At 46.4% G+C, this 24,405-nt stretch overlaps 1 protein-coding gene across 19 annotated transcripts in view, besides 4 other annotated features; it reads left to right on the forward strand.

The window, feature by feature from the left end:
• The window catches only part of SNX29 (sorting nexin 29), a 597,554-nt gene that overhangs the window by 407,870 nt on the left and 165,279 nt on the right, over nucleotides 1-24,405 (forward strand). For all 19 annotated transcript variants that reach the window (XR_001752024.3, NM_032167.5, XM_017023874.2 and 16 more), the window contains 2 exons: nucleotides 13,843-13,898; nucleotides 18,845-18,926. Coding sequence is in view for 18 of the 19 variants with exons in the window: in NM_032167.5 (NP_115543.3) it covers nucleotides 13,843-13,898; nucleotides 18,845-18,926 (138 nt within the window). In the remaining variant the exon portion in view is untranslated. The remainder of the gene's footprint in view (nucleotides 1-13,842; nucleotides 13,899-18,844; nucleotides 18,927-24,405) is intronic.
• Nucleotides 1,385-1,885: an enhancer, noted in NCBI's record as "H3K4me1 hESC enhancer chr16:12479845-12480345 (GRCh37/hg19 assembly coordinates)". NCBI's record gives its function as "activates a minimal SCP1, AML or CMV promoter by ChIP-STARR-seq in naive H9 embryonic stem cells {active_cell/tissue: H9 hESC(naive)}" and the evidence as "EXISTENCE:reporter gene assay evidence [ECO:0000049][PMID:30033119]".
• Nucleotides 2,789-3,083: an enhancer, noted in NCBI's record as "tiled region #12750; K562 Activating DNase matched - State 8:EnhW". NCBI's record gives its function as "activates a minimal TATA promoter and a strong SV40 promoter by Sharpr-MPRA in K562 cells {active_cell/tissue: K562}" and the evidence as "EXISTENCE:reporter gene assay evidence [ECO:0000049][PMID:27701403]".
• Nucleotides 20,813-20,912: an enhancer, noted in NCBI's record as "active region_10469". NCBI's record gives its function as "activates an Ori minimal core promoter by ATAC-STARR-seq in GM12878 lymphoblastoid cells {active_cell/tissue: GM12878}" and the evidence as "EXISTENCE:reporter gene assay evidence [ECO:0000049][PMID:35858748]".
• Nucleotides 22,439-22,568: an enhancer, noted in NCBI's record as "active region_10470". NCBI's record gives its function as "activates an Ori minimal core promoter by ATAC-STARR-seq in GM12878 lymphoblastoid cells {active_cell/tissue: GM12878}" and the evidence as "EXISTENCE:reporter gene assay evidence [ECO:0000049][PMID:35858748]".

The raw sequence follows: 24,405 nt of genomic DNA on the forward strand, positions 1-24,405 counted from the left end.
TAGTCTGTTTATTAATTCCTTGCCAGATGTGTAGTTTGCAGATATTTTCTCCCATTCTGTGGGTTGTTTCTTCACTTTGCTCATTGTTTTCTTTGCTGTGCAGAAGCTTTTGAACTTGATGTGATCCCATTTGTCCATTTTTGCTTTGGTTGCCTGCTGGGGTTTAAGTAACTTTCTTAGAAAGTCTGCATGACCCACAGACTTCTGGGGCAGTAGGAAATAAACCCATCATCTCCATGCAGTGTAGGCGGTGGTGTAATGGACACATATAAAAAGTGCTGTGGAGGCCGGGCATGGTGGCTCCTGCCTATAATCCCAGCACTTTGGGAGGCCGAGGCAGGTGGATCACCTGAGGTCAGGAGTTCAAGACCAGCCTGACCAACATGGTGAAACCCCATCTCCACTAAAAATACAAAAGTAGCTGGGCATGGCGGCGCACGCCTATAGTACTAGCTACTTGGGAGGCAGAGGCAGGAGAATCGCTTGAACCCGGGAGGCAGAGGTTGCAATGAGCCTGAGATCGCGCCACTGCACTCCAGCCTGGCAACAAGAGCGAAACTCCATCTCAAAAAAGAAAAAAGAAAAGTTCTGTGGGGACACGGGAGAAGGGATTATCATTTCTAAAGTCTTTGCTTATTGGGGGACACCTGAGCCTTGTTGGCTTTGAAAGAATAAACCTTGACAGACCCACGTCTGGGGACTTGTGGAAGGAAAGAACCCGGAAGGGATGTTGCCTGCAGCAGGAAGTGAATCCTGAGACAACTTGTTCATAGAGGATCTTGATTGTCATCCTCAAAGAGTTGGAATTTTTTTCATGGGGCGGTGGAATTCACATTGTGTCCCGCAGGGCTCTAGGGCTCTGAGAAGAGACCACCAGGCCAAGGCAGGGAGAAGTGAAGGAAGGAGGAGGCCAGCACTCAGGGCCCTCACCCGGACTGTGTCCCTGCAGCCTCTGCTCTCTGCCAGGTGACATTTGCAGGAGCTAATGAGTGGCTTGAGGGGGCTGTAGTTACCTCCCACCCTGTGTGCATCAGCTGTCCCCAAACCTTCCCAAATAAACATGCAAACAAAGGAAAAGCGTGTGTGCTCTAGGCCACTTAGCTATATCGACAACTGACAATAATAGGCATAGAGTGACAGAAAGACCTGACGAGATGCCACTTGGCTTCCTTTTTCAAGTAACTCTGTAGGGTTTTCCCACATAACAGATACAGAAAGAATTTATTGTTGGAAAACGGGGCGGCAAGATGGACAACATTCTCTGGGACCAACGGGATGTGCAGCCTCCTGGGCTCAGGCCTCACCAGCTCCTGCACAGTGGTGGGGGTGAGGACTGAGGGACACATCACATCTCCTGGGAGCAGAAGACGATGTCTGCGAACCCAGCTCAATATGCATGGCCTTGTCCCCAGGCAGGGGCGGCCTCAGCTGGCCAGGTGTCCCCGTCACTGCAGAGTTCTGGTCTTAGACTGGCTGCACACGGAGACTCCAGGGCAGCAAAACATCTTCTTTCCTCACCCTCAGGCTCTCTGAGCCAGCACCTCCTGATCCAGATCCATTTCTGAACTCCTGGATCCAAGACCAAGGTCATTCTCATCAACCCTTAAGCCAGTGAAAGACTCTTCCTGGGGCCTCGTGTGCTGGTGCGGCTTCCAGATAATGATAGCCAAGGTCACACTTGCCGAGAGCCCTGGTGATTCAGGCACTCTTCTTAGTACTTTATGCAAATTATCTCATTGAATCCTTACAACAAACCTCTGAGGGAGCTGGAATTACCATATTCTTTCCATGGAGGAGGAAGCGAAGGGCAGAGAGGTGGAGCCACTTGCCCTGCTCACAGAGCTAGGAGGAGGCAATTCGCAATGTGAACTGGGTGGCTGCGTCTCCCTCCACGCTCTTCACTGCTCTGCCCACCTGTTCTCAGTCCACTGGCCAACCAGAATACTGTCCCAGATAGCAAGTGTGACACTGTTGCCAATAGCAGGGTTCTTGGTAAGATGCCATTCCAGAGAAGGAGTCTGCTAAAAAAGAAAATAATAAAAAATAAACCTGCGACTGCAGGGAATGGAAAACACATGGATGCATTTTTTTAATGTGAGATGAATCTTTCCTGAACAGTTCAAAGTGCCTATGCCTGCTCACTGTTAATAAGAAAAGAGTTGAAGGGTGAAAAATTAAACAAAAAAAGGCCTTCTTTTCCAGAAGAGAGGGAAGAAGAAATAAGAGAGAGCCACACCTAGGTCGGGCGTGGTGACTCACGCCTGTAATCCCAGCAGTTTGGGAGGCCAAGGCGGGTGGATCACTTGAGGTCAGGAATTCAAGACTAGCCTGGCTGACATGGTGAAACCTCATCTGTACTAAAAATAGAAAAATTAGCTGGGCATGGTGGCATACGCCTGTCATCCCAGCTACTCTGGAGGCCAAGGCAGGAGAATCACTTGAACCTGGGAGGCAGAGGCTGCAGTGAGCCGAGATTGTGCCACTGTATTCCAGCCTGGGCGACAGAGTGAGACTCAGTCTCATTAAAAAAATAAAAAAAAAAGAGAGAGCCACACCTAGATTCCCATTACTGATCCAAAGAAACCAAGTTAGCGGTTCCATTCCTGCTGCTTCTGCACTGATTGGGAGGGAAGCAGGACTGCGGCAGTCCTCCTTGTTCCTCATCACACAACCGAATGGTCCTAGGAGAGGCCGAGAGAGAAGGCTACAGCTTGCTCCGGTGCCCCATTCTTCCCAGGGCTGCAGTCTACTGGTCTACTTGGGATAGCACTCGAGCCTTGGGAGAGCAATGAGGAGAATCGTTGGCGTCTCAGAAGTGGAGAACAGGTTCCCATCCAAGCTGAGCTGAGGGGACGATGGCTCAGGTCAGAGCTGGCTACACTCCCCTTGCCATTTGTTATCTTTTTAGTGCAGGGATGTGAAAGGGAGGGGCTGGGGTGGGAGGGTGAGAAAGGCCATTTTGTTGAGTGCTTATTATTGTGCAGCCAGCAGGATGCTGGGCATTTTAAAATAGGATGTCGCAGGCGTCGTGGTGGGTGAGTACTGGCTCTGTTTTACAGATGAGGAAACTGAGGCTCAAGATTTTCTGTTAATAAGTGTTGAGGCCCGAGTCTACTTGACCTTAAGCCATCTGACCTTAAGACCCTTAAGGTCTTTTCCGGGAGACCTTGGTAGCCAAAACTAATCAGTGAAGAGCTTCATGAGAACATTCTTCCCCTACTTCCATGCCTCCATGCCTGAAGCAGCCTCTGGGATGTGGCATTCTTTCTTGTGACTGGTGGAAATTAAACTCTAAGGAAGAACCCTGGAAGAAACATTCCAGAGTTGTTTTGCTTTTATCTGCAAATTAGCAGCAAACAGAGAGCCTCTTCATCCACAGATTTCATCATTGTGCTTATAATGTTAAAAATACACTCCATGCGTGTGGTTAACAGCAAATGGCCCAGTCATACACATGCTCGGATTGCCAGAGCATCTTCTCTTCCCTTTCGAGGCACCGCCTTTTGCACGTGCCGAGCTTTAGGGCTTCCTTCTTTCGGAGGAGATGAGCCCGAATTCTTTTTCCGCACCCATGTTTCTTCTGGGGGAGACAGCAGGTGTTATAGAAGGAGCACAACTTGGGATTCAGCCAAAGTTGGCTTTGAATTATTGCTGTGTCTGTGGGCATGTCACTTAGCTTCTCTGAGCCTCTGTAGAATACGGGAAACAGGTTACTCAAAGAATTACATGAGTGGGTACAAATAAATGTCTCAGTCCTTAACGTCTTGACATTCCTTCTCTACCTGGAGCCAGGGGCCTCTTTTGATTCTCAAGCCCTTGACATTTTATAAAGCTATGGAGATCAAAGATTTATTCCTCCCTACCTAGACAAATGAGATTTCCCTGAAATTACAAATGATTTTTCTGCATCTTTCCAGCTATCAGTTAGGAATTGGCAAACATTTTCCGTAAATGCCCACATAGTACATGACTGTGCGGGTCACGCTGTCTCTCTCACTGTTACTCCACTTTGCTGATGCAGCCTGAAAGCGGTCATAGATGATACATAACTGGCTGAGTGGGACTGTGTTCCCATAAAACTTCGTTTACAAAAACGGGCTGGATTTGGCCCAGGAGCCATAGTTGCTGACCCCTGATGTAGAGTATGGAGAGGTACTGGGTTTAGGTGCTGGAAATGCAAAAATGAATGAGAGTCCTTGACCTGGAGGGTTCTGCCTGTAACACACTTGCACGTAGTGTTGGTAAGGGATATTCTATTTGCAAGAGGACATTTAAGGTAACAGGAAAGGCAGGTGCCTTTGGTTGTTCTTACAGGCTGGTGTCACTAGAGGATCAACCCAGGTGTATCTAAATCTGCTCCTGCCTGCAAGGGTGAGCTCCTCAGACCTGCCGCTTAAACATCCTTGATATCTCTCAGTGCTATTAAATACTGCTCAGTGGTCCCAGGCCAATTTTTACATCATAGTTTTCCTTGGGATTGTAGCGTATCTTAGGAAATCCTACATCCACTCCCCATGTTACTGTAACACTAGCGCGAGCCAGTTCAGATTCTCGGTTTTGGACAGCTGCCTTTCTTTGGCATCATCTGGTTGACCTGTGCCTCAGTTTCCCTGGCTGTTAAATTGGAGTTAAGGATGAAATAGTGCATGAGAACTGATATGGATTGGCTGTGTCCCCACCCAAATTTCATCTTGAATTGTAGCCCCCACCATTCCCACATGTTGTGGAAGGGACCTGGTGGGAAATAATCGAATCACGGGGGCGGTTTCCTCCCATACTGTTCTCATGGTAGTGATTAAGTCTCATGAGATCTGAGGGTTTTATAAGGAGTTTCCGCTTTCGCTTGGCTCTCATTCTCCTGCCTGCCACCATGTAAGATGTGACTTGCTCTTCCTTGCCTTCCACCGTGATTGTGAGGCCTCCCTGGCCATGTGGAACTGTGAGTCCATTAAACCTCTTTCCTTTATAATTACCTTTATTAGCAGTGTGAGAACAGATTAATACAAGAACATTTGTTCCCTGTTTTCTAAACTTAAAAAAAAAATCATGTTTGTGTAACCCTTTAAGAAGAACTCCTCCTTAGCAACTCAGTAGGGGTAATGGGTCAAAGTAGAACCTACCCTCATAGGAGAACACAGGGAGGGCTCTGGCCAATGAGCCTTGAAACATCTCCTGGAAACCCTGGGACCTGGGAGGAGAGGCTAAAAACAACCACAGATGTAGGGCAGAGCAGGAGAAGTCTGCAGCCCAGGGACCCAGCCACTGTAAGGCTGCTCATTGACTCTTCAAACCTTGTTTCCCTCATCTGAAGCAGGAGCGAGTTTGGGTTAGTTGAATACTTTCCACTCATTGCAGTAGGTCTGAGTGTTTCACCAATTGGTTGAAAATTCATAACTTAAGAATAGTTCTATATTGGTAGCTTCAGCCTGGAGGAATTCTAGGCAGTTGTTGATTTGTGCTTTTCTTATAGGTGATCCTTAAAAGTCTGTTGATATAAAGAGGATGGCAGAGAGTTTGGCATGTTACCCCGTGCGTGCAATTGAGGGGTGTGTGTGTGTGTGTGTGTGTGTGTGTGTGTATGTATATGTATATGTGTGCACGCACAGCCTCTTGGCAGTTTGCCTCTTGCCTCCCATCTCTGCTCTGCAGCCAGAGTGACTGAAGTGTGAGCTGGACCAGCCTCTCTCTTGCTTAAATCCCTCATAGGTTTCCCCCGTCGGAGCACAGACCAAAGCCGTGCTCATCTCCCTTATGCTTCAGGCTCCTCCCAGATGCCTCATCCATCCCTGTCCTCCGTGGACTTTTCACAGCCTTAACTGTCTAATGAATTGTGCTGACTGCTGTGTGGAGACTGTCTCTCCTGGTGGATTGTATGCTCTGCAAGCCCCGGGACTTCCTCTCCCCCTGTCACCTGCAGAGAGTCTGACTACTCAATGGAATGTAGTGCAAATCTGTGGAATAAACGTATGCATAACTAGTGTGCATTTGTGGAATGGAGCAGTCAGCCCCTCATTCTGGGCGAGGGCTGCCAAACCCCAAAACCACCATGCCCTCAGCGGGTTTTCCACAGAGCCCAGAATGTTTCTCTGCCAGGTGCTGGGCTGGGATGGTTCTTGCAGGATCCTATTGGAGCTTCCTAACAACCCCACCAGGGCAGCTTCTGTTGTCCCCATTTTCCAGGAGGGAAGTAAGGCCCAGAGAAGTGGAGTGGCTTATTCTCGGCCACGCAGCTGAGTCAGAGCTCAGGCCCAGCTGACTCAAGTCTTGTTCAGTCTTTAAAAAAAAAAAAAAAGAAAAGAAAAAAACACTTACTTAGAATGAGGAAATAAATCGCAACAAATTGTCTTTATTTATTGTTTCGAGATGGGGTCTCACTCTGTCACCATGGCTGGGGTGCAGTGGCGCAATCAGGTCTCACTGCAGCCTCTGCCTCCTGGGATCAGGCAATCCTTCCACTTCAGCCTTAAGAGTAGTTGGGACTATAGGAGCATGCCACCACACCCAGCTACTTTTTAAATATTCTGTTGAGATGGGGTCTCCCTGTGTTGCCCAGACTGGCCTTAGACTCCTGGGCCCAAGCGATCCTCCTGCATTGGCCTCCTGAATTACTGGGATTACAAGCATGAGCCACCATGCCCAGCCTTACAAATTATCATTGTTAAAGAGCTGATACATACCACAAATACCACAGAATCCAGACAAACATCATAGGTTAATTAATTAACCATCGGGTACTCTTCTCTGATCCCTTTTCTCCTACATTTTTAAGCTGCATACTCTGATAGCCTGTTCAGAAGACAGTACTGTTACATCATTTTCTGTACAGAGAGTAGAAGGATAATTCAGTCGTTCTTCCAGCATGGTGGAACAAAAACTTTCCAGGATTTTGCTTGAAATTTTAAAAGCAATTATATGAAAGAATTTTACAGTGAACACATGTATACCTACCACTTAGAGTCTACCATTAACATTTTGCTGTACTTTATCATCTGTTTTTTTATCCATCCATCTATGCGTGCATCCATCCATCCATTCATTCATTCATCTGTCCATCATTTTATCTTTTTTGGGATGCATTTCATAGTAAATTGCAGATGTCGGTATATGTTTCTCCCAAAATACTTCAGTAGGCACATAGAACTTTACCATCGCCCCAGAATGTCCCTTCATGCCATTTCCTGGTGTTTCCCACTCCACTCTCCCTGAGGTATTCACTGTTCTGATTTTCTTTCCACCATAGACATGATAGTTTCTTTCTTTCGATTTAAAATTGCGTGATTGTTACGTTGATTTTTTGAAAGGTTAACAAGTCATGTACATGGTAAAAATCTACAAGGTGTAAAGTTTTACAGATAGGAATAGATCATCGTCTCTCCTCTGACGCTTGCTTCTCAGTGCCTTCCCTCAAAGGCACCCATGGCTAGCAGGTTCTTACGTGTCTTTATAGAAATGGTTCATGCATATAGACACGTGTGTCTCCCAACACGCTAATACTTCAAGAGGATAGTAGCTCACCTGACACTTTGTTTTGTGTCTAGCTTTTGTCATTTGACATTATATCTTAGAGATCTCCTCCTCTTTAGAGGAGATGCCTGCTGTTCTTTTCATAGCTGCGCAGCCTGGCTATGAGTGTGCTGTGTTTTATATAACCATTTCATTCCTTGTTTCCAGGCTTTTATTACCCTAAGTGGTATTGCAACAAATGTCTTTGTATCCTTGTCTCTGTGCTTATGTTGTCCATCACTCTTTATTTCTTGGAAAGAAAGTAGATGTCCATTCTTAGTGAAGTAGTAAGTTCGATCATTTCCCCATGCCCTTTGCCTCCCACCCTTTCCCTGCTCCAGCCATTCATCCATCCATCTGTCCATTTTTACATCTGCCTGTCTGTCCATCCAGTGGGAACATTCACTGAGCGATCAGATGTGCCTGCCTACCACGTTGGACTCTGAGAATATTGTCCTCTACACCCTTGTTATCTTTTGGGAAAAACAAATGTGTCAAAAACTGATTCACAGAAGTGTGATAGTCTATGTTTGTGTGAGGTTTCAGTGCTGCCCAGAGGATAAAATAAAAATTCTTTAAAGCTCTTATTTGCCAAGTTTTTACTCCTAGCAAAGAATCCTTGACCTCAGCTGTTTTTAAAAACCACAGAGAACAAAAACAACAACAAAAGCCACAGAGATATGATGCCTCTAGTGGTATGTTTGTAAAGCAAATGAAAAAACTAACAGAGAACCCTGAAAGTGCTCCAGAACTGGGGGGCTTTGTCCTGAAGGCGTGGATAGCCCAGGCTGACTTTATGATCAGATCATCAGGCCTGAGCCTGTTGCTTGGCTTGACCAACCAAGCTGAGAGACAGAACCATGCCATTTCACATTCTGTTCCTTATTAAAAGATGAGATGAGAAAGCAAGCGCATTGGTGGGATGGAAAACAGTTGTCATTTTTTGGCAGTGAAAAGGGAGAGCTAATTGCATAAGGGCAGGCTATTTGAAAATAGGGATGAGTGAGAAAGTGACTCTGGAAAACAAATTATGGCTGCCATTTCATGATTGGAACAAAGGTTTGCTGCCTCCATAGGATCTTCCTTGTTGCTTTTCTTTGGAGCAGTGAATCTGAGAACCTGGTAATTAGAAGAAAGAAATAAGATTCTCTTTCTTTGGTTCTTTTTTTGTCTCCAAACTAACTTATCCTTCCCATGCATCAAGATTTTGAATTTGCTACAAAGCAATCTAAAAATCTGTTGGCATTTCAGGGTGGAAACATAGCATATCTTATGATTCATTCATTCATGCATGCATGCATGCATGCATTCATTCATTCATTCATTCAGTGTGTTAGTTCGTGCCTACATGTGCTGGGTTCTTGGCCAGGCTGCAGTGTGTCATGGTGAACAGGTGGGTGTGGTAAGCACATATAGAGCTCTCTGAGCTCACAAGGAGGGTTCCAATCCACAGATAACCAGCGTGGAGTCATTACAAGCTGAAGAATGTGAACCGTAGAGGGTTACAGTGGAGACACTGTTTAGTTCTGGTGGTCTGGGAAGGTGCCTCCTAGGAATTCATATTTTGGCTGAGTCTTAGATGAGAAGAGCTAACCTTACAGAGAGGCTGAGGAAGAGGAGAAGGGAGCAGTAGCTTACAATAATACTTGCTTCGCAGATTGTTTGAAGATTAACTGTGAGACCATGAAGTCCTTGGCACATAGTAATTGTTCAGCACATGCTGGCCTCTCCCTTTACCTTTGTTGATTTTTTCTAATAGGGCAATCAGAGGCTGGTTGTCATGAGGTAGGCAAGGAAGAAACCAAGGTTTACGGAAGCCAAGTGACTTCTCACATCATCAGAGGAAGCCCAGGATTAGAACTCAAAACATGTGCATTTCTGTCTGTTCCTGAGAGCTTATGTACTTGGCTCAGAGTCTGGAGGCTGACCTGTGTTCCCAGAGATGGAAAAGGACCTGGGACTTCCTAGGGGCAAAGCCTCCTAAGTCTTCCTGCAGCAGCAACAGCAAAATAAAATCAGAAAACCCCCAAGCTTTAAGGAGGCTCAAGGTTTTAGACCCAGTTGTGCATCTGTATATGTCTACTCTGGAGCTATTGAGTCCTTTCAGATTTTCTTCACCCATCAGAGGTCCGTTTACCAGCTAAGGCTCTTGAGTATGAATTTGGGTTACTTGATCTTCTGGGCATCCCAGAGGCAAGATGCGAAGAACGGATACTTTGTAGTGGGAGGCAGTATAGCTTAGCAGTTAGAAGAGCAGGCTCTGGAGCCAGACCACCTGTGTTTGAATTCCACCTATGCTACTTACTACCTGAAGGACCTTGGGCAAGTTACTTTTATGGATTATATGTCTCTGTATGTGAAACCACCCCAAAACTTAATGGCTTTTTAAAAAAACTTGGCTATTTTTTTATCTCTCATGATTCTGTGGGCCGACTGGGCTCAGCTGGGTGGTTCTTTTACGTCATGTGGTGTCGACCAGGGCTTGACTGAGCTGGACATCCAAGATGGTGCTCTCATTTATCTGGTAGTTGGTGCTGGCTATCCACTGGGACTTCAGATGGGATTATTGATCAGAATACCTCATGTGGCTTCTCCACCTGGAGAAAGCCCGAGCACCTGAAGGCACTGAGGCTGAGTGAGAGGCTGCTGAGTAGACTAAGAGATTTGGCTTGGGCTCCTGATATCTTTACTTCCTCTGTGTTTATTCACAGTGATCTCTCTTGTCCTTGCCCATGAAATCGGAAGCACACCTCTGCCCACCTGCTGTGGAAGAGCTTTGTGGAGTGGGCAGCCTTTGATGATACTGGGTGGTGGTGGTGTCATGCTTGCACACCCCTCAGGACTAGAAGTGAGGGTAGCTCCAATGACAGAAGGGTTCCCTGTTCATCTTTACCACCGCCTTACCTGGGGGTGTGGTAATTTTTTTTACCACAATGGGAGGAGGTGTAATTTTTCTTCTACGGCTTTGGCAAATTGGCTGATTTTCTTTTTCTCTCCCTCTTCTGTCTTTCCTTTTTATTTAAATAAACATTTATTCAGGACATAGTGGATACTTTTCATTCTTTTTGGCAGAACCTCTAGTGTCTTCCCAGGTTTGAGGACTTGCCAGTCAAAGTGGCAGGGTGGGCCTGTGTCAGAGTTCCACGCTGGCACTGGGGTCAGAGTTTCATGACTAGGGAGAAGAGACTTCTTGTCTCTGTTCTGTCCCTGCTCCCCATCTGCCCCAAACAACCCAGGAAATCCTGAGTCAGAGGAGATGATGGAAACTTCTTTGCTGATGCAGCCCAGAAGTGGATTCCCCGTTGGTCTCATCTACCATTTCACATCCTTGTGTGTACAGCACCGAGGGTGTTTGCTCCAGCATGATTCAGGAATCCTGGCTGCTCTGTTGCTCTAGTAACGGGCTTTGCCTTTCCTTGCACCTGAAGACTGCCGCGTGAGTGCCCAGACCACAGGCAGAGTGTGAGCTGCCTTCTCTGCAGGGTCAGGGAGAGGTGAATAGAGATAGCCATGTTGCTGATGGCTGGTTTGTGCCCCATATTGAGGGTAAACTAAAGAGAAATCTGCATCCCAGGGATGTGTTCTCCAAGATTCCCCAGACTTCAGACAAACAGGGGATGTTTGTGGCCAGTGTCAGTAGAAAGTTGATTTTTCTTACAAAATAATCTCTGCTCCACACTCTTTATTGCCAGAATATAAAATAGAATCAGCTCTCTAAAGGGCTGCTGTCAAGTCTAGCTAATATCTGGCTCCAGTCTTGAAAGACAGCAAGAAAAGACAAAATTTGATGTTGAGTAAGCTCGGCCTTTAATTATCATCATGCATTTGCTACAGTGCCTGGCCTTGTTATCAAGTTATGTTCCTAACGGAGGTTAGAAAGTTCCCAAATTCTTTTTCGAAGCAGCCTCCCTGGTACTCATGTAGACACACAAAATCTCCGGGTTTACTGATCCTAATAATGCCATGTAATTAGAAGAAAAGCCTCTAAGTCAGAAGGATTGAACCACTCCTGGGTACGCATATCCCCTGTTCAAAATGTTCCCTGAAAATCCCCACCCCTCAGGGGAAACTTACCTACCCAAAAAATACCTTGTTCCAGAATTAGTCATTTTTGAAGAAGCCCTTTGTTTTCGATAATTGTAGAGTAATGTCTGTCCTTAAAAAATCTGCCTTGTCTTTCACCTTGGTCCTTTTGGTTGCCTTCTGCCTGTGCTCTGTGGGGTAGATACAGCCAGATGTTCTTGTGATTGAGGTTCCTGGGTGCAAACTCTGTTCACTTCCAGTTGGAAATGAGGCTGCATCTAAAGGCGGTGGCGATTGTGTGTAGCAGTGGAGCTGGTGTCCTGATGGCTTGTGAGTCCCCCTCTGGTCTGCCCACTTGATCCCCATAGCGTGCCCAGAAGAGCTTTTCCCAGCCTCAGTGCTGAGTGGGAAACCCAGAAAAGAGGAGTGGCCAAGAGCAGCCCTACAGTGTCTGCCAGAGAAGATACTGGCGTCCTCCACATGGATGAAAAGAGGAGAATGGGTGTTGTCTAGAACGGGGCGTGGCCTTAGAACCCTTTCTTTGCCCTTTTCCATCCATGATGCGTAACTGTTAGGAAGGCACCATCTCTGACACCTTGCTTTCTGGATTTGAGTGAAATGCATGGAGTGGGATGAGGTGGAAAGGGTATTTGATTACTTAGTAATGTGATACACACTTAAATTGATATATAATGTATCTGCTTATGGTTATGCAGTTAATACGTCTTCATTGTAGAAAGTACAAAAAAGTTCAAAATAGAAAATACAAATTCTCTTAACTTTCTTTATTTTTTTGAAACAGGGTCATGCTCTGTCACCCAGGTTAGGTCACTGCAGCCTTGAACTCCAGGACTCAAGTGATGCTCCCACGTCAGCCTCTGGAGTAGGTGGAACTACAGGCTTCTGCCGCCATGCCTGGCTAATGTTTTTTTCCATTATTTTTAGGAGAGACAAGGTCTTGCTGTGTTGCCCAGGCTGGTCTTGAACTCCTGGGCTCAAGCAATCTGCCCACCTTGACCTCCCAAAGTGCTGGAGTTACAGGCATGAGCCGCTTCACCCAGTCTCCACTGTTGATTTAAGGAGAGCCTTCTAATGTGTCCTAACCTTCAAGTTTCTTCATTTCTTCTTGAAGCCTTCAAGACTACTTCAGTCTTTCTTTTTTCACCTTTTAGCTGACTTTTCCTGTTTGCTGAGGGTTTATAGCAGAAAAGCTTTGAAGTTGGACAGATCCATTTCCTAGATGTGTGACCTTGGGCAAGTTTTACAGCCTCCCTGAGCCTCGGTTTCCTCATCTGTAAAGTGGGGAGAATGATACCTGTCCTCAGGTTCACTGTGAAGCTTGCTGGGGATTGTGGGGAGTGTGGAAACCCTGAGAGGTAAAAGGTGTAAATTCAGTGTTCTCTTTTTTCACTTCACTACCCCTCACCCTTCTCTGTTCCACTTGGTTTCTCATAGTCTTGATCCTCCTTCTTAAAATTTTAGCCAATTTAGTTTCTAGCAGATCAAAAAAAGAAGCTCATTCCCTGGGTATGAGAAAAATATCAACATTTATTGAACATCTACCACTACTGGGCATTTTGTTGTCTGCTTTACATAATAATTGCAATACTTGTGACAGCTGTGAGAATCAGTTTCCTATCTGACAGGGAGCTGAGGATAGGTAGCTTACTGGGGGTCACGTGCACCTTTGAATGCTTGCTTGCCCTCACCCCCACCTCCACAGTGTGGGGTCAGGACCCCTAAGCAGTACTGGTGGTGGGGTCCACCATGCCACACAGTTTAGTTTCTCTCCCCTAGTCATCATCTCATGTGGCCCTTCTGAGTCAGGAGAAGCCATATTCTGCTGCCTCAAATTGCTCGTACATTATGAGGGGAAAGGATGGAGCCCTTGTGGGGGTGACATTGGCCTTTTGTGTTTACCTACTGGGTGTGTCTGTGTGTGTGATGTTCATCATGGTAACAATGGATATTTTTTCCATTGCACATCTGATAACTTGCATCTCAGATCCTAATTAGGCCTTTATCGCTCCAAAATTACATGCTCTTACATGCCTGTGATTATCTCAATAGGATTAACAGTCCCTTGGCCATAAAGATAATTGAGATCCCTCATGGTGGCATATTTTTATTGCTGCAACATCCTCTCCAACCATCCCTCCACACAATCTCTTACCGTTTTCCAGTGACTGCTTTTTCACTTCATTCTGAATAGGAAATGTTCAGGGATCTCTGAGAGGCAGAATTCTTCTGTGATTATGCAAACCATGGTAACCATTATGCATTTTTTCTCCCCTCTCCCCCTTCTCCTGATGGTAGGTGCCTGGAGATTTGAGTCAAACGTCCGAAGACCAGAGTTTGTCGGATTTTGAAATGTAAGTCCACAGCCTGTGCTCACAAGGGGTCCTTTAGAAACTGGACTCTGTTGTTGGCTTCTGTCCCAGAAGACCACAGGGGGAAACAGAAATCACTGTTGAGACCCACACAAGGTTGATGTGGTTCTTGTAGAGCTGGTAGGAGTCGCTCTCCTACAGCCTCAGTCTCGCCCTCAGATGTGTTTTTTCTCACCCTTGGGTATTTAAAAACATTTTTTTTTTTTTTGGCTGACATTTAGAATTTGGAAGCTATCACATAACACAAATTTCCTTTATTTTCTTTAAAAATGAGACGCTTGTCCCTGTGAGGCCACAGTCTGCTGGAGCTGAGTAAAAGCTATCCCCTTTGCACAGGGGCATGTGCCGTCCAATTGACCACAGTTCCCGCTCTTTGCTGTTGCCTGGAAGTGACCGACTTCACTCATTTTATGATCTGTGTGGCCCCTGGGTTATTGGAAACAACAGTAGTCCATGCCTTGGTCGGATTTTTGATTGGGTTCAATTCTATTTGGCACCTCTGCTGAGCCACCCATAGGGAGAGATTAGTTGGTCATCAGACTTTTTTATTTTTGAGATAGAATCTCTGTCGCCCAGGCTGGAGTGCAGTGGCACGATCTCGGCTCATTGCACCCTCCGCCTACCGGGTTTAAGTGATTCTCCTGCCTCAGCCTTCCAAGTAGCTGGGATTACAGGCACACACCACCACGCCTGGCTAATTTTTATATTTTTTACTAGAGATGGGGTTTCTTCCTGTTGACCAGGCTGGTCTCGAACTCCTGACCTCAGGTGATCCACCCACCTCGGCCTCCCAAAGTGCTGGGATTACAGTTGGGAGCCACCGTGCCCAGCCGATTTTTGTTCAGGATTTCTTGGGCTTTGGACAAATAGATCCCTTAGGCTGGTAAAGGAAATGGATAAGTTGTCTCCTCTCTCATTCATCTCTGGCGAGTTTAAGGTTCAGCACCCGTTGGGAAGAAAAGCCCGGGAAAAGTCCCTTTTAGAGCAGGCAGGGCTGGGCCTTGGAAAGAGCATCTCTTCAGAGGCAGGCTGGCCTGCGTTGAAATCTCAGGCATCAGTCCAGCCATTTGACCTCACTGGGCCTCACTTTCCTAATTTGTGAGGCGAAGGTCCTGATGCGAACCTTGCAGAGCTTGTGGTGGCGATGAGTGAGATTATGAAAGGCATGAGGGCATCACGGGGCTATTCATGTTGGGGCAGCTGCTGGGGTCGGGGGTGGCGGTGGCTGTTAGGCTGATAGGGTGGAGAGGCTGAGGTGGGTGAGAGGTGAAGGATGAAAATCAAAGGTGAATTTGCCTGCTGTGGGCTTGTGGGCAGGGGGAGCATGGCATGAAGAGGCTCCTGGAACGGCAGAGTCCGGCGGAGGGCAGCTGTGGGAAGAAACTGGGAAGACAAGAGAGAGCCACAGAGGGGAGTCCCAGACACGAGGCTGGAAGCACTCATTATTAAAGCAAGAATTCACCCATGTCCTGCTGCAGGCTGGTGTCCGGGCAGGTCCCTAATAGAGAGGATGAATTAGCCATGGTCCCTGCCCTCAAGTGGTCTCTGCCTGATCCAGGCCACATTGTCTCTCCCCAGAGATTTGGAACCTCCCCCAACCAGTTTACTCATCTACACTAAAGCCAGAGGCAGCAATGGCACCATTCCCCTCTCAGCATGGAGACTGAAATCCTTTGTGGAGCTTACGAAGAAGGCCCTCACTCACCTCTGGCTTCGTTCCCAGCCTTTCCCACTCCTCTCCCTGCACCAGCCATCCTGGCAGTTCCGCTCCTCTAACCCACTTGGTCCTCTCCCTTTAGGATTATTATTTTACCCACTTAAACCACTTGTACACAGCATTGCCTCTGTGCTGGACACTGTTCTAACTCACTCAGTCCCTACAACAACCTTCAGAGATGGGTGTCTCCTCACGGATGATGAAATTGAGCCGGGTTTCAAACCCAGGCAGTGCTGGTCTAGACTCAGTGCTCTCCACAAATGCTTATTCCCCTGCCTGAAGCACCTTTCTCATCCTCAACTTGGCCAACTCTAAATATCCCTTAAAGCCTGGCCGAAACATTGCTTCTTCAAAGAAGCCTTCTCTGGTGTCCCAGACCAAAGCAGGCCCTGGAAGTCACTCTCCTTAGATCCAGTGTTCCTTTGTGGCACTTACAATAATAGTAAATAATTTATCTGTAACAACTATTGGCATATATACACCTGACAACAAAGCTTCAGAACATGTGATGTAAAAAATCAACAGAAATGAAAGGAGAAACAAACAGCTCTACAATAAGACTTGACTTCAGTACCTCACTTTCATTTATTTATTTATTTATTTAGAGACGGAGTCTTGCTCTGTCACCCAGGTTGGAGTGCAGTGGCACTATCTCTGCTCACTGCAAGCTCCGCCTCCTGGGTTCATGCCATTCTCCTGCTTCAGCCTCCCGAGTAGCTGGGATTACAGGTGCCTGCCACCACACCCGGCTATGATTTTTTTTGTTTGTATTTTTTAGTAGAGACAGGGTTTCACCATGTTAGCCAGGATGGTCTCGATCTCCTGACCTCGTGATCCGCCTACCTCGGCCTCCCAAAGTGTTGAGATTACAGGCGTGAGCCACAGCCCCCGGCCTCAGTACCCCACTTTTAATAATGGATAGGATAACTAGACAGATCAGTAAGGGGTTAGAAGATTTGAACAACATGAGAAACCAATTAGATTTAACAGCAGAATGCACATTCTTCTCAAGTGCCTGTAACTTTCCAGGAAAGACTGTATGTTAGGCCACAAAACCAGTCTCAATTAATTTTTAAAAATTGAAATCATCCAAAGTATCTTCCTTGACCACAATAGAGTTAAATTTTTTTTTTTTTTTTTTTTTTTGAGATGGAGTCTCACTCTGTTGCCCAGGCTGGAGTGCAGTGGTGTGACCTTGGCTCACTGCAACCTCTGCCTCCGGGTTCAAGTGATTCTCCTGCCTCAGCCTCCCAAGTAGCTGGGACTACAGGCGCGTGCCACCATGCCCAGCTAATTTTTGTATTTTTAGTAGAGACAGGGTTTCACCATCTTGGCCAGGCTGGTCTCGAACTCCTGACCTCAGATGATCCACCTTCCTCAGCCTCCCAAAGTGCTGGGATTACAGGTGTGAGCCCCTGCACCCAGCCCACAACAGAGTAAATTTTATGGAGATTTGTCTCTCTCCCATGTTAAAACTGAATGCTCCAGAAGAAAGGGCTGTCTGCTTCTTTTATTGCTCTATCTCCAGTACCCAGAGTAGTGGCTTCTCAGTAAAACTTGTTTAATGAGTGAGTGAAGGAACAAAAGGATGAACAAATGAACTAACATCTAGGAGGGAGATGGGTCACTTAAACAATCAATTTCTGATACAGTGTGGTCAATGCACTGAAAGAGAGAACCATTTAACCCAGGCTGGGGTAACCTCGCTCTAACCCTGGGAGGTTGTCCACTCCTCACCAATCCAGAAAAGTTAATAAAAACCAGAGTGCTACTTATATTTCTGCCTTGTAGCCTGACACAGAAATGAAAGGAGAATGTTCTAGGCACTAATACAATTTCAGGGACCTTTCCAGGAGGAAAGTGATTAGATACACAAACCAGTTTTGATGGCTCAGAATTGCAATGTACAAATTGCCTTGAGCCCTGGGGAAGTGATCAATGGGGTTTAATTTACCCCTCAAAGGAGGTCAGCTCCTCTGCTCAGAGATGAGAAGAAATGCTATTTCAGGAGAGACCCATTACCTGAAGGGTTATTGTCATTGTGAAAATGAAATGGTCTTTACTCTAGAGGTTGTGAGAACATTGAGTCGTGGAATCTTCCATCACCGGTGTCTCAAATTGTGTTCCAAGCCCAGAAGGCTGGCGAGTTTTTATGAGCTGCTCTTGAGAGAGAAGGAGAGCTCAGGAGAAAGCATTTAGCCCTGGAACAGCTCTAATTAGAGGCGAAGGCCGGGACCTTACAGCCCTTCCAGAATGGTGCAGCACCGTTTTGATAATTATTACAATTGATCTTGAAGTTTCAGGGACAGTCAGCTTATTCGCTCTGTGTAATTTGGATCCAGCCGGGTACAAATGTGACAGTGACTTACGAGTTAAGTTTAAAGTCATCACAGAAGACAAAACAATCACATAACCAAAATATCTGTTAAACATGCCTCACCTGGCCCACGCGAGGTGAGAAATAAATGATTTGACCATAGGTAAAAGCATGGAGCTGTGCGTGGTAGGTGCTCAGTAAATTATTTTGCATTTGAATTTAAACCTTGGTGTATTGGACCCATATACACAGTGTTTTTGGAAAAGCTGAAAGAGAGGTATTTGTACCCATCAGCCTGGTTTTCTAACTTGTCATTTTCTCTGGTCCCTCCCTCCTCCCATCCTAAACAGCTGTCACCCTTGTTGCCATGAGTGTTGGTCTCCTGAGCTCGTTTGTGGAGTCTGATCTTAAAATGGGCTCAGGGTCAGGGTCTAAAGTCAGCTCAGTGAGGAGGCAGCGTGACTGCTGGGTGCTCCAGAAACGCTGGGCATTGCTGTGTGTGACCTCCTGTGATCGCGTCCTTGGGGCTTCCGGTTATTATCTTCATTTTCAGATGTGGAGACTGAGGTTCAGATACATTATGGGCCAGATCACTCCATAAGAACTGAAGGGAGCTCTTTCACATTCCGGAGTACAGATTGTGTGTGTATGTGTGTGTGTGTGTGTGTGTGTGTGTGTGTGTGTGTGTGTGTGTGTGTGTGTAGAGAGAGACAGACTGAGTGATGACTTAAACTTGTCCTTTAGCTTGCCATCAGGTGTGATGTAAGTTGTCATAAATTGCTTGTGCATAATACCTCTTGGAGTAGAAAATTGTCTCCTTTCCTCTTTTTTATTTTTTATTTTTTTGTAAGTTAAAATGTCTAATGTTGGTCTCTCTCTCTTCCTTTTGGTTAGATCAAACCGGGCGCTGATCAACGTCTGGATCCCCTCAGTGTTTCTCCGGGGCAAAGCAGCAAATGCATTCCACGTGTATCAGGTGAGTGCCTGGTTTTCAGGTGGACATCACAGCTGGGTGGAAAAACGCCCATTTGTCATGCTGTGGTGCTTTTTGCCTCTTGGTGGTGGGGCGCTATGATTAGGAGGCTATGGCCTTCCAGACACCCACATCTTAACTGCCCAGAGGCCTTGCCGAAGAAGTCTGTGGCTTTCAGTTGGGCAGGGGGATACGGTGGGCCTCTTCGTGCCAGTCAGGCTCTTAGTGTGGCTGCTGTGGAATCTCAGCTCAGACTGCATGAGCAGAAACGGAGATGTGTGTTTGCTTGTTTTGCATCTGAAAAGTCCAGTGGTAGGTCGGGCCTTGGGCATGGCTGGACCTGCCATCAGGAACCTGCTGCCATATCCTGTGTCTGCTGCTTGGTGACCCTCTCAGGCCAGCTGTCCGTGGGTTGACAGGATGACCCCAGCAGCGCCAGGTTCTCAGCCTGGAAGGGCGGGTCTCACTGGTGTGTCCTGGATCTTGAGCCTCTTCCTACACCTTGGGGTTGGGTGACGGACTCTGTGACTGGCCTGATTCAGCTCATGTGACCACCACTGTCGCCAGGGTGGGTGTTTACCTCACCTGACCACATGTCTGAGAGTGGGGAAAGGAGATTCCCCAAATGAGAGCCAGAGAATTCTTTCCAAAAGAAGGGGCAATGGATACTGGACAAGCGGGACCTGTAGACATCGCCTCTGCTTCCTTGGGGTACGGATAGCCGCACCCAGGTGGGCATTGAGTGTCTGGGGCAGCGAAATGTGTGTCTGCTTAGGAGGTGATTTTACCCAATCAAGGGGACTCCAGTTCTCCGTCTCCTCTCTGATTTTCTGAAGCCTCTTTTAGCCCTGCCCACAGCTCGTCTGCATGTCTGTCTTCCTTCTCCTCCTCTCTCTTACCACGGACTCTGATTTCCAGGCTTTGGTGTGCCCTTGTTCTGGGACTGCTTTGTTCTCAGTGCTGAGCCCCAGCTGCTTCCTGCTTCTCCTGTCTGCTTGTGCTAAAATAATTGTCGTTAGGTTTTGTTTTATTCCCCATGAGCTCTCTGCAAACCCTTGGATTTTGTTGCCATTTTTCTTAGTGAGAAATTGACTTATTGAAGAAATTTTCTTGTCTATTAAGATATTTTTCCCCAAAGAGTGGGGTGTTGAAGAAAGGACACTGAACTTGAAAGCGGAATCCCTGGTTTAAATCCTGTGACCTTAGATGAGTCTTAGTTTCTTCAGCTGTAAAATGGAGACAGTAATCTATCTTGTAAAACTGTTTTGAGATTAGAAATACCTGGCCTGCAGTAGACACTCTATTCATTTCTCACCTTCCCAAATGACCGCTGTGCTTGGTCTCAGGTCTAAGCATAATATGCACATCTTACTGGAAATCTTAGGGACAGATGAGCTAGACTTTGGCATGAGAAGTTTGTTTTAGTTTGACACCTTCAGCTGGGCAACAGTCATAGGAGAATCTTGAGTGTTCATGTTGTTCCCAGCTCCGGTTTAAAGGGAGAATTAGATATTATGGATTTTCAAAAATCCTCTTCTCTTTGTTTCTCCTTTTGTCCCCCACAAACCCAACTTTCTTATTTGACCCTTCAAGTTCTGCATTGTGGTCATCAGAGAGCTGGAAGGTGCAGCCTGGAGGATGAAAAAAGTACAGCAGACAGCTCTATTTTAGAGCAAAATTAAAACATGTTATCACTTGAGAGGTTTCCTTGACCTTTCAGTTTTGACTTTTCCCCCTGTTTACCCCATGAAGCAACTTGGCAATTTTTAGCTCCTGAAAGCTATGAATTGAGACGGACCTTAGCAAATATGCCGTTGCCTGGGAGATTGTTTCCACAGTGGCCACTGTGGCAGTGAAGCCACTCTCTCCCCGTCCTTTACGGTGTGAAGCTCTCATGGGTTCAGCCCTGCTTCCAGCCAGCCTCAGGCCTGGCCGCTCTGCATCGCTGGGAGCAACTTCACTCCACGCCTTTGGCCTTCTGCAGCCTTCCTGATGCTGGGGTGTGTGAAGTGGTGTCTCTTGCATGCAATTATTTTTCTCTTTTTAGCAAATGATGCTTCTGATTGGTGCCTGCAGAGCAAAATCAGAGCATGTGTTTGGAAGCATTTTAGAAATCCTTTATTGCCATGTTTTTACTTTATATAAATGATATTGCATAGAAGGTGACTCATTTAAAATACTGGTACTGTTGAAGAGTACTTATTTTAGAATTAAAAAAGTATGCTGGCCAAGCATGGTGGCTCACGCCTGTAATCCCAGCACTTTGGGAGGCTGAGGCGGGTGGATCGCCTGAGATCAGTAGTTTGAGACCAGCCTGGCCAACATAGTGAAACCCCATCTCTACTAAAAATACAAATTAGCCAGGCGTGGTGGTGGGCGCCTGTAATCCCAGCTACTTGGGAGGCTGAGGCAGGAGAACGGCTTGAACCCAGGAGGCAGAGATTGCAGTGAGCCGAGATCGCACCATTGCACTCCAGACTGGGTGACAAGAATGAGACTCTGCCTCAAAAAAAGAAAACAAGTATGCTATTTAATTCCACAAAAGATTTGACATAATTTCTAGAGAAACGTCTAAAAAAGAATGATAAAAGAGAGGTTAAAAAAAATACATCAGGGTCAATGAAAATGTAAACTAAGGGTTTAAAAGGAAAAAGCGGAAAGCATATATATGTGTCATGAGATTCTACACAGTTGCACTCATTGATTTATGAATTTCCTGTGGGCTTCCTGGCAGCCATTGTGAAAGGGAAATGTGGTTATTTGGATAATTCTGTTGCTAATGATAAGAAAATATGTTAATTCTTTAAAAGAAGCTGTAAAAGAAATTTCCACACAGGATTTGAGATTAAACAATAAAAAAGGATAGAGTAGACAATCCCCATCTACATTCCCGTGACAGCCACTGTCTGGTTTTCTTAAGATTTCCCTTGAAGGAAACCAAGGGCATAACCCCAAAGTGAACATAAATTCGACTGGAGAGCCAAGACATGTAGCTTTCTCAGGAGAGCGGTGCTCCCTGGTACTGGAGCTGCGCTGTCTGTACCAGAGCTCCTAGCCATGTGTGGCTCTTGAGATTTATATTAATTAAAATGAGATTTATATCAATTAAAATGGCTCATGCCTATAATCCCAGCACTTTGGGAGGCCGAGATGGGTGGATCACTTGAGGTCAGGAGTTCAAGACCATCCTGGCCAACATGGTGAAACCCCATCTCTACTAAAAATACAAAAATTAGCTGAGCGTTGCTGTTGCATGCCTGTAATCCCAGCTACTTGGGAGGCTGAGACAGGACAATCGCTTGAACCTGGGAGGCAGAGGTTGCAGTGAGCTGAGATCGCGCCACTACACTCAAGCCTGGGCGACAGAGCGAGACTCTGTCTCAAAAAGAAAGAAAGAAAATGAAAGATTCGGCTCCTCAGTTGCACCACATTTCACATGCTGAGCAGCCAGACGTGGCTGATGGCTCCTGTTCTGGACAGCACAGATCTGGAACATTTACCCCACACACAGAGGTCTGCAGGGCGGCTGCCTTGGAACAAGCTCTCCTAGCGTGTGGGATGGCAAGATGGTGGTGTATGTGCCAAGTCAGGATTTAGAAGGACCACACTGGCCATGAAAGGCCACATCCTGCGGGGAGAAGGGCCCCCGCTTTTTCAGCCCTTCATGGCTTCCAGCTCCTTGGAAGAGGAAGTCTCTGTGTCACTCTCTTACCTCTCATGTCCCTCTGATCTTTCTTAGGAAAAACAGCAAGGCTGGGGTCATTGCCTTTGGCAGGTGACAAGCTTAAGGTTAATTAGATTGTTTTTTTTTTTTCTGTATTCATTTTTACATTTGCCTCCTAGTTATGTCACAGAATTCTATTTTTCCATTTACCATGGTGATGTACAGTCCCCCTTTAAAATATATTTTAGGTAAAAAGGAAATGAGTCAGCTTAAAGAAAGCTACTAAATAAACAATCGTGAAAACAGTCCAAAGTTTAGCATGATGCTCTATGAATGATTGATATTTGGGTAGCACTATAAAGGAACAGATAGACTGTGATTAACAAATACCAGTATAATAATTAGTAGCCACCTCTCACTGGTTTGTGTGTTGTGTAATAGCTCATTCAATCCTTGTAGCCATCCTGTGGGGTAAGAAACTCTTACCCCATTTTATAGGTGAAGAATCAAAGGCACAGAGAAGCATCTCATTTACTGACATGTTTTTCAGCCCCCAAAGCAGTCTCTGACAAGGTCCTGGTCTTTAGAGATTCTGTGTTACTGAAGGAGGGCTGAATCAAGCTCTTTAAAAATCCTAAAAGCAGCTGTGCATGATGGCATGTGCCTGTAGTCCCAGCAGCTCCAGAGGCTGAGATAGGAGAATTGCTTGAGCCCAGCAGTTTGAGCCTGCAGGGAGCTACGATTGCATCTGTGAATAGCCCCTGTATTTCAGCCTACGCAACACAGTGAGACCCTGTCTCTCCAAAAGAATGTAAAAATTAACTGGGCATGGTGGTGCATACTTACAGTCCCAGCTACTGGGGAGGCTGAGGCAGGAGGATTGCCTGAGCCCAGGAGTTTGAGATTGCACTGAGCTGTTATAATGCCACTGCCACTCCGGCCTGGGTGGCAGAGCAGGACCCTTCTCAAAAAAACAAACAAACAAACAAAAAAAAAACTAGAAGCAGCTGGGACAGTCACCCTCATTCCAAAAGGCAAGGCCCAGCTCAACGAAGATCTCACCTGCATGGGCAGCCACCTACACCCCTGAGATGGTAGGCTAAGGGCAGGCCTGCAGCCAAGCCAGGACTTTTCCATAGGACCTCTCTGGGTCCACTGTGGTGCACACATTATCCAGCAAGCCCTCCACATCCAAGAGCCAGGCTGAGATGGTTTGCTTTGGAAAGTTGTCAGAGCAGTTGCTGGTCCACAATAACTTCTGTGGCCGTCCAGTATCTCAGGACATCTTGTTTGAGCAATGTCAGGGTCCCAGAACCTGCCTCGGGGTGGCTGCTTGAAAAAGTCCTCCGGCCAGGTGCAGTGGCCCATGCCTGTAATCCCAGCACTTTGGGAAGCCAAGGCGGGTGGATCACCTGAGGTCAGGAGTTCAAGACCAGCCTGGTCAACATGGTGAAACCCCATCTCTACTAAAAATACAAAAATTAGCTGGGCATGGTGGCACACGCTGTAATCCCAGCCACTCGAGAGGCTGAGGCAGGAGACTCACTTAAACCTGGGAGGCGGAGGTTGCAGTGAGCCAAGATTGCGCCATTGCACTCCAGCCTGGGGGACAGGAACAAAACTTCTAAAGGAAATAAAATGTCATCCTACATGCCAAAGAAATTAAGGTAATTCCCCTGCTATGTGCAGTCACAGAGCCCCCACTACTTCTATTGTGGAAAAATCTGGAATTATATTTGGCACAGAGGATTCTAGCAAGAAGTGCTGTGCATTGCCAAGGTTGAATGCAAATTATTGCAAAAAGTTTGTGTTCCTGTG

This window comes from Homo sapiens, chromosome 16 (assembly GCF_000001405.40).
Source record: "Homo sapiens chromosome 16, GRCh38.p14 Primary Assembly".
Lineage (NCBI taxonomy): Eukaryota > Metazoa > Chordata > Mammalia > Primates > Hominidae > Homo > Homo sapiens.